The sequence below is a fragment of the Homo sapiens genome, chromosome 1 (genome assembly GCF_000001405.40).
Source record: "Homo sapiens chromosome 1, GRCh38.p14 Primary Assembly".
Taxonomy (NCBI): Eukaryota; Metazoa; Chordata; class Mammalia; order Primates; family Hominidae; genus Homo; species Homo sapiens.
This window is the reverse complement of record NC_000001.11, coordinates 31517923-31526866: the sequence shown is the minus strand read 5'-3', so window position 1 is coordinate 31526866 and position 8944 is coordinate 31517923. Positions and strand designations below refer to the sequence as shown.

General features: G+C 44.6%; 1 long non-coding RNA gene across 1 annotated transcript; it reads right to left on the bottom strand.

The window, feature by feature from the left end:
- Positions 1-2621: 2621 nt before the first annotated feature.
- Positions 2622-8432, bottom strand: LINC01226 (long intergenic non-protein coding RNA 1226). The gene is made up of 3 exons (NR_027085.1): positions 8031-8432; positions 5804-5921; positions 2622-4842 (listed from the first exon to the last, which is right to left on the bottom strand). It is a non-coding gene; the product is annotated as a long intergenic non-protein coding RNA 1226 (long non-coding RNA).
- Between the last annotated feature and the right edge of the window lie 512 nt (positions 8433-8944).

Below are 8944 nucleotides of genomic sequence, written 5' to 3'. Positions count from 1 at the left end.
GTTCTAAGTGAAATACACTAAAAAAATCGTAAGGTACAAATACAAACAAACAAAGGGGGGAGGAAAATTATTAGATTAGTCATAAGACTATCAAAATACAAGTTCAAGGTTTTTTTCTATGATAGATTGTTTCCTTTCTTCATTGTCTTTACCTGAAAGGACCTCTCAGTTGTTCACACTATTATTAATTATTTTTCTAGTATGTCTACGTTACAAATATTATAAATGCTGCAAAAATTGCAAATGTCACTGAAAGAATAGAACTCCAGCCCAAATTAAGTGAGTTCATTGATCTGAACTAACAGCTGTAGCATGTATGTAAGAGTAGTCTTCTGATGACTATTTGTCCAACACATTATTTCCCTATTTCTGATCAACTGAGGAAGGGCTTTCTATTTTAAATTTTTTCTTTTTTTTTTTTTGAGACAGAGTTTCATTCTTGTTGCCCAGGCTGGAGTGCAGTGGCATGATCTTGGCTCACTGCAACCTCTGCCTCCTGGGTTCAAGTGATTCTCCTGCCTCAGCCTCCTGAGTAACTGGGATTACAGACGCCCACCACCACGGCCAGCTAATTTTTGTATTTTTAGGAGCGACAGGATTTCTCCATGTTGGCCAGGCTGGTCTCAAACTCCTGACCTCGTGATCTGCCCGCCTCTGCCTCCCAAAGTGCTGGGATTACAGGCGTGAGCCACCGCGCCCGGCCTTGTTTTAAATTTTTTCAATCCTAAAGTCCCAAGGTTTATAAAACACATCAAATGGCCTATTCTTCCTCCCAACTCCTCAAGGCTCTTCAGCAATATGGTTGACCATGCAACACATCATCGCATCTGAGGAACAGCCTAAGAAAATAATTCTAATTGCAATGATCACCTCTTTTCTCCATAACGTGAGGAGATATTGGCATGACAGGAGAGCCTCTCGCATTCTGAAAGGAAATACAGGAATTTTTGCATCCTCACTGACAAACCAAATGACAGAACTTCATATAGGAGTGAAAAATAGAACAAGGGCACTTAAAAATTCCAATTTGATTCCCCTATGCCCTATAATTCCAAGCAAAGGGGACCTGTCCTCTTCAAATCCATCAGATATATTATTTGGTTTTCAAAGTCCTCTTTTGGAGAATTTAACCAAAAGGGAAAGATTTTTAGAAAAAAGAAAATCTGAAAGAAAAAGTTTTAAAACACAGCCCAAGATGGCTGCAGGCTGGACAAACAGGTACTAATATAAGGCCTATGAACTAAAGCTGAAGTCTCGCCTGCTAGGGTGGAGTCTGTCAAATATTTCACTGGCATGACTGATTGTAACCTTGCCTATCAGATGAAGCACAAATGCAGGGTAGAATCAATCACCCCTCTCCAGACCTTAAGACCCCTACGTATTCCACAACTTTTTACCCTATATATGTTAACTGCATATTTCTTTATTTATGCATAATGTCACTAAGCACCAATCAGAATTGTAAGTGTCACCTTTCCTTCAATGCCCCTGTGGAGACAGGAAGTGACTCCATCTTGGATATGAATGTGCCATGTTGTATTCTAATTAGCCCCAGTCCTGCAAATGCCTTCTGATTCTTACTTTATTTACTATCCTTAGTGTAAGAAGATGACAATCTGAATGTCATCACACAAATCATAGGCCATGATGCATGTAACATTCTTGCCTGTTCTGGAGGCTGCCTTTTATTGTCTTGCTGGACACACACGCCCTTTCCCTATGGTACAGAAGCCCCGGGTCTGGGGAGTAGCAGTGTGGAGATCTATCTTCTGCCTTGCAGCTAAAATCCCAAGACTACGCTTCTGCCTGTAAGTTCTCCCCCAGTAAAACACTCTAGACCAAACTGAATTTGTTTCCCTCCTTTTCTGGTTTCCAGCTCCTTTGGCATTTGGGGGTCATTTTGGATATAAGGCCCTTTCATGGAACAGCCCCCTTCTCCCATTTTCTTTCTCTCTTTTTTTTTTTTTTGTTTGTTTGTTTGCTCTGTTTTAAGACAGGGTCTCACACTGTCGCCCAGGCTGGAGTGCAGTGGCATGATTTTGGCTCACTGCAACCTCCGCCCTTGGGTTTTGTTGAGACAGAGTCTGGCTCTATCACCCAGGCTAGAGTGCAATGGCGCAATATTGGCTCACTGAAACCTCCACCTCCCGGTTCAAGCAATTCTCCTGCCTCAGCCTGAAGAGTAGCTGTGACTACAGGCGTATGCCACCATGCCCGGCTAATTTTTGTATTTTTGTAGGGAAGGGGTTCCACCATGTTGGCCAGGCTGCTCTCAAACTCCTGATCTCAGGTGATCTGCCTGCCCCGGCCTCCCAAAGGGCTAGGATTACAGGCGTGAGCCACCGCGTCCAGCCTAAATTTTTAAAACATATATTCAGAGAACTGAAAAGAGGAAGCAGGGAGATATAACAGAAACAAGGACCATCCCTCATATGGAAAGTCAATACATGACATTTGAAGCAAGGGTTGTGAAATCGCATCACGAGCTTGTTATTTGGAACTATTGAGATAAATGCTAGAAGAAATGCCTAACAGAATTCGAAGTATTGGCCTTGGAGGTCAGGAGTCCGGGAGTTGGGAGCTGAGGAGACACACTCGTGAGTCCATTTGTGATAAACTTCAACTGTGTCATGCATCCTTTAAATTTGAAATTTTTGAAAAGTTAAAGGTTAAAACAAATCAAAAGGGCCTTGCAGAGCTGTGTTCTCACCAGTCCCCATGGCAGTCCCTTGGCAATTCACAGATAGGGCTCCCACTACCCAGGTTAGCTCAGGCCACAAGCCCGGGTGCCTCCGCCTCCTTCTCATGTGGGAGGTTATGTAACCCACCCAAGGTCACAGAGGCAGTGGGTGTCAGTCCACAGTCACGGCTCAGGGCTTCTGTCAGAACAGGGACCTCCTCGGGGTGGGGCATGTGAGTGCCCTTGTGCTGTGACTCAACCCAGTTCCCCGTGTGACTCCACAGGGAGCTCAGAGAAAGTCAGCCCACACCCACTTTCATCTGAGGACACCCCAGTGGGGCAGAGCAGGCCTTCCCTGCTCCACCCCAAGCAGGACTCATGCCCCAGCCTTTCTGGGGCACATTGCTACATATTTTAAAATGGGCAAATAAGTACTTTCATGAACATGGCTAGTGGGGAAGAAAGGAGATTATTGCCCTCATTTTGTGGATGAGAAAATTGAAGTTAAAAGAGGGTAATGAGCTGGGTGGGGTGCTCACGCCTGTAATCCTAGTGCTTTGGGAGGCCGGGGCAGGTGGATCACCTGAGCTCAGGAGTTCGAGACCAGCCTAGGCAACATGGTGAAACCCTGTCTCTACTAAAACACAAAAATTAGCTGAGCGTGGTGGCACGCACCTGTAGTCCCCAGCTACTTGGGAGGCTGAGACAGGAGAATCACTTGAACCCAGGAGAGAGTGGTTGCTGTGAGCTGAGACTGTACCACTGCACTCCAGCCTGGGTGACAGAGTGAGACTCTGTCTCCAAAAAATAAAACAAAAAAGAGGATAATGATTTGTTCAGGGCACACCACTGATCCCACCCCTGATTTGGATGCAGGCCTGACTCTAGCACCTGGGTTCTTGGGTCACTGAGGTAAAGCACACTGACTCAGGTTTGTAAAACGTGGGCCAAATAGCAGCTGAGTCACTGGGTTGCTGTGAAGGTCAAATGAGGTCAGGTAGATATGGGACTCTTGGGAGGGTTGTTGGTACATCCCAACCACCTCACACATTTCAGCTGTTAATGGTGATGATGATGTCAGAGCTGGGAGGGCTGGAGAGATGCCCCAAACCTGGGGTTCAGGTGTAGCCTGTTGAGGCTCCCTTGAGAATCTAATGAAAGCAGATGACCCTCTGTTCTGCAGGCAGCCTCAAGACAGTGTTTTGCACGTTAAGACCCTCCTAGGTGCTCTAACATCTTGCATTTCCACAGATGATAAAATGAAGCCTCTGGCTGATATTTCCTTGGATCTGTTTCCCAGCTCAGGAAGGTGTTCTTGAATTCTGAAGCAGACATCTGGAGCCTGCGACTGAGCAGCTGCCATGATAGGAAAGGGGAAAGACCTCTGGTTACCTTCCAGAAAGACGAGAGAAGGTGCCTGTCTCCTCCACGACCTAACTGTACACAGCAGGATGCAATTACCTCTAGAACCACTGAGGAAGCAGACAGTAAACTGGACATCCATCTGTCCCGAGGCACAAAAATATTTGCAGGCACGAAAATATTTGCAGGCACCTCCCCTGTCCAGATTCAGACTAGGCCCTTCCACCACAGCAGTCCCCACAGCTGGGTGGAAGCCTGGAGGTCAGGAAGGAGGAGTGCTAGTTGCTTTCAACACTTCAATGGTGAAATCATGCAGAGAAGCACTTCTCATGTTAATCCATCTCACACACATTCCAAGAGCACCTACTATGTGTAAGGCACACAGTGGGACAAGCAGATGAACAAACAGAATCTCTATGGGAAGTGGTGAGTGATATTCTAGCAGTTCTCATACAATGCTGCGGGATGTAAAACACACTCTAGCTGGGGGAACTGACCAGGAAGGAACACGGGCTTGTTGAAACACATGATATTGGAAGTGACTATATCAAGATGCCCCAAAGTCAACTCATGACTTTTACCACCAACCTGACCTTTCACTGCCCAGTGAAAGTTGCCATCATCCGATTCAGTTACATGTCACACTTCCCACACTCTAACTCTCCATACACATCTCGGGTCTTGCTGACTTTTCCTCCTCTATGTCTCTGCCGTCCACTTCTCTCCATCTTTAACATCTACTTCAGCAGCTTCTCCTTTGGTCCGCCCTCCAATCCAACTTCCAATCTGAACGACCTCATCTAAGAACAGATGTGATCATGGTTAATCCCTTTTGAAAATCTTTCAATGGGCCGGGCACGGTGACTCATGCCTGTAATCCCAGCACTTTTGGAGGATGAGGTGGGCTGATCACCTGAGGTCAGGAATTCAAGACCAGCCTGGCCAACATGGTGAAACCCCGTCCGTACAAAAATACAAAAATTAGCTGGGTGTGTTGGCACGCACTTGTAATCCCAGCTACTCAGGAGGCTGAGGCAGGAGAATCGCTTGAGCCCAGGAGACGGAGGTTGCAGCGAGCCAAGACCATGCTATTGCACTCCAGCCTGGGAGAGTGAGACTCCATCTCAAAAAAAAAAAAATATATATATATATATATATATATTTCAATGGTACTTCTATTGTTATCTGTTTTTTTGTTTGTTTGTTTGTTTGTCTGTTTGAGATGGAGTCTCGCTCTGTCACCAGGCTGGAGTGCAGTGGTGCAATCTTGGCTCACTGCAAGCTCCACCTCCTGGGTTCAAGCAATTCCCTTGCCTCAGCCTCCCAAGTAGCTAGGACTACAGGTGTGTGCCACCATGCCTGGCTAATTTTTTTTTTTTTGAGTAGAGACGGGGTTTCACCATGTTAGCCAGGATGGTCTCGATCTCCTGACCTCATGATCTGCCAGCCCTGGCCTCCCAAAGTGCTGAGATTACAGGCGTGAGCCACTGCGCCCAGCCTGTTATCTGTTTTAACAAGTCCCAGTCTTCCTTCCAGGTCTGGTTCAAATGGAACTTCTCCCCAGTTCCCCAGTAGGGTGTGTTCTCTCTCCTGAAGTATTTCATGAGAACGTCAAGAACAGGGCTTAGGAGCCCCCGCTTAGTCTGGCCCAGACCTTTCTTTCTGCCTCATCTTGCATTGTAGCCCTCCTCATTATCCACCCCTCCGCAGAGCTGCTCTGCTTGTAATAAGTCATATTACCTAGGCTCCCTCTCATCTCACCTTTTTGCGTACGTTCTTCCCCATCTCTGGCCAAGTCCATTTTTCTTCCCCTTTGCCTGGATGATTCATTATTTATTTTTTGGCTGCTCAGACACTCATTCGTAAGAGGTGCTAAAACCTGAGAAAATGAAGTGTTGGAAGGATTGTTTGATAAGCTGCTTGGAATGTCAGTGAGTTCTCTAAGAGGCATGCCTCAATCATAATGGCTGGGAGTTGATTGCCTTCCTAGAAGATTCTGTCTGGGTAAATATTAGGCTCTTGCTTTGCTAGTAATTAGGGTGAGCAAATGTGGACCACAGCTGAATTGTTTAGGACAGGAAAGAGAAGCCAAGGACTGTCAAAAGAAACCTTCCTTTTTCTAAACCTTCCTCCACATAATGTTGTTCCTCCTCCAAATAAATGTTAAACTAGTTTTAGTTGAAATTGAGAGCAAAACCCACAAACAATAAAAAGGAAGTCAGGAGAGGCAGAAAAAAATGCACAGAACAGAAGAATGTGTCATTAAGAGTTAAACATCATCAGAAACAGAAGAGATATGCATAAAACAAGAACACTATGCTATGGAAAAGAAACAATCAGAGAACAAGAAAGAGCTCTTAGAAATTAAAAATGTAGGCCAGGCGCAGTGGCTCACGCCTGTAATCCCAACACTTTGGGACGCCAAGGCAGGTGGATCACCTGAGGCCAGAAGTTCAAGACCAGTCTGGACAACATGGTGAAACCGGTCTCTACTAAAAATACAAAAAATTAGTTGGGCCTGGTGGGGGGCGCCTGAAATCTCAGCTACTTGGGAGGCTGAGGCAGAAGAATTGCTTGAACTTGGGAAGCGGAGGTTGCAGTGAGCCGATATCATACCATTGCATTCCAGCCTGGGCAACAAGAGCTAAACTCTGTCTCAAAAAGAATTTAAAAAAAAAATAAAAAAGAATAAAAATGTAATAGCTGTTTGGTCAGGATAGGGTCAATGCTGTAACAAACCATCACAATCTCAGTGGGTTGTGACTAAGAAAGCTCATTTCTTGTTCCCATCACAGTCCCATTCTTCCCCAAGTCACAGGAAGGAATTAGCTCCATGTAGTCATTCAGGGACCCAGGCAACTTCCTTCATGAGGTCTTGCCATCTCCTAGGGTATTGAAGTACCCTACTTCTAGCCAGCAGATGAAAAAGAGCAGGAGAAGAAAAGAAGATACAGAAAGAAAATAAAAGTTACTGGGCACCGTTGGGGAAGTTGGGGCACCAACTTATTACTCTAAAAATTGTTAATTAAAGGAAAAGAATTAAGCATTTTTTATGCCTAACTGCATTTTCTGGTAATTAAATAGCCAAAATGAATGAAGGAAAGCTCTTCTATGCAGAAGAATTTCAGCTACTACATGAAGAAAAAATTAGAATCAGAAAATTATCATTTTTTAAGCCCCTAAGAAAATAACTGATTCAAGCAATGGTTTTCAATGGATGCCAAAATCACTCAGTGAAAGGTTGATGGAGAACTTCTCAGTGAAGGGTAAGGTTGCCATTGCCTGAACCTAAAGATAGATCTTAGCATCATTAAAAGCAAGACCAGCAGACATCATATGCCTCCAGGTGTGATGCACTGGAGACTTACAAGGTATCCCATGAAGTATAAAGAAGCAAGTGACTGTATCCCTAGTGTAAAAACTCTACATGAGAATTGACACAGTTTCTTCAGGAAGTCAATAGCACTGAGAACAAATATAGGAAGAGGAATTAATTTATGTTAAAAGAGAGTTAGAGGCTGGGCACAGTGGCTCATGCCTGTAATCCCAGCGATTTGGGAGGCTAAGGCAGCCAGATCACTTGAAGTCAGGAGTTTGAGACCAGCCTGGCCAACACGGTGAAACCCTATCTCTATTAAAAACACAAAAATTAGCCAGGCGTGGTGGCCCACACCTGCAGTCCCAGCTACTCAGGAGGCTAAGGCGCGAGAATCGGCTGAACTGGGGAGATGGAGGTTGCAGTGAGCCAAGATCACACCACTGCACTCCAGTCTGGGTGACAGAGCGAGACTCCATCTCAAATAATAATAATGATTTTTAAAAAGTCAACTAATAACATAAGGTGATGAGTCTGGAAAGGATGGCAAGAAAGCACACTTCATAAATATGAAGGAAAATGAAGAAAACACTTGTGTTAGGGTTCTCTAGATGGACAGAACTAATAGGATATATATATATATATAAGGGAGTTTATTAAGTATTAACTTACATGATCACAAGGTCCCACAATAGGCTGTCTGCAAGCTTGAGGAGCAAGGAGAGCCAGTCCAAGTCTCAAAACTGAAGAACTTGGAGTCTGATGTTCAAGGGCAGGAAGCATCCAGCATGGGAGAAAGATGTAGGCTGGGAGGCTAGGCCAGTCTTGCCTTTTCACCTTTTTCTTCCTGCTGTATATTCGCTGGCAGCTGATTAGATGGTGCCCACCAGATTAAGGGTGGGTCTGCCTTCTCCAGCCCGCTGACCCAAATGTTAATCTTCTTTGGCAACACCCTCACAGACACACCCAGGATCAATACTTTGCATCTTTAATCCAATCAAGTTGACACTCAGTATTAACCATGGTAAGTCCACCCCTTGTCAAGCTGAACCCATACACATCTCCTGAGATCATACATAATCTTCAAATAAAGACAATAATAAGGTCATAATTATGCCTAAAATAATACAACTATCCTTGGTACAACTGGAAACCCACCAATCCCCAACCCAAATATTATTACATAAAGTTAATAATACTTAAATGTTGATATGAAGTCAGTAAATCTTATGTCACATGATAAAGGAAAAGGAAATAAAATGGATATATTTTCTTCGTACAAGTGTATACATGCACAAACATGTTTTTAGCCAAAGAAGGAGGAAATACTCATGATAGTTACAGTCCGCATTTCTGCAGCTGGTCACATGGTCATAGGTGGTATTGATGATTACCTTCTTCTACTACCCATTCTGTATTCCCTTTGCCTTCAGCAAGCACCTCAGCAGGTTGTGGTTTTTTTCCTGGTGGAGTGACCCAAACCTTCATTCCTGAGGGGTCTGGGCTATTTGTAGTCCTGCCTGGATTGCGCTATTGTAGTTTCCCATTGACCTTAATCAAAGGGCATGGTAATACTAAGAGATGCT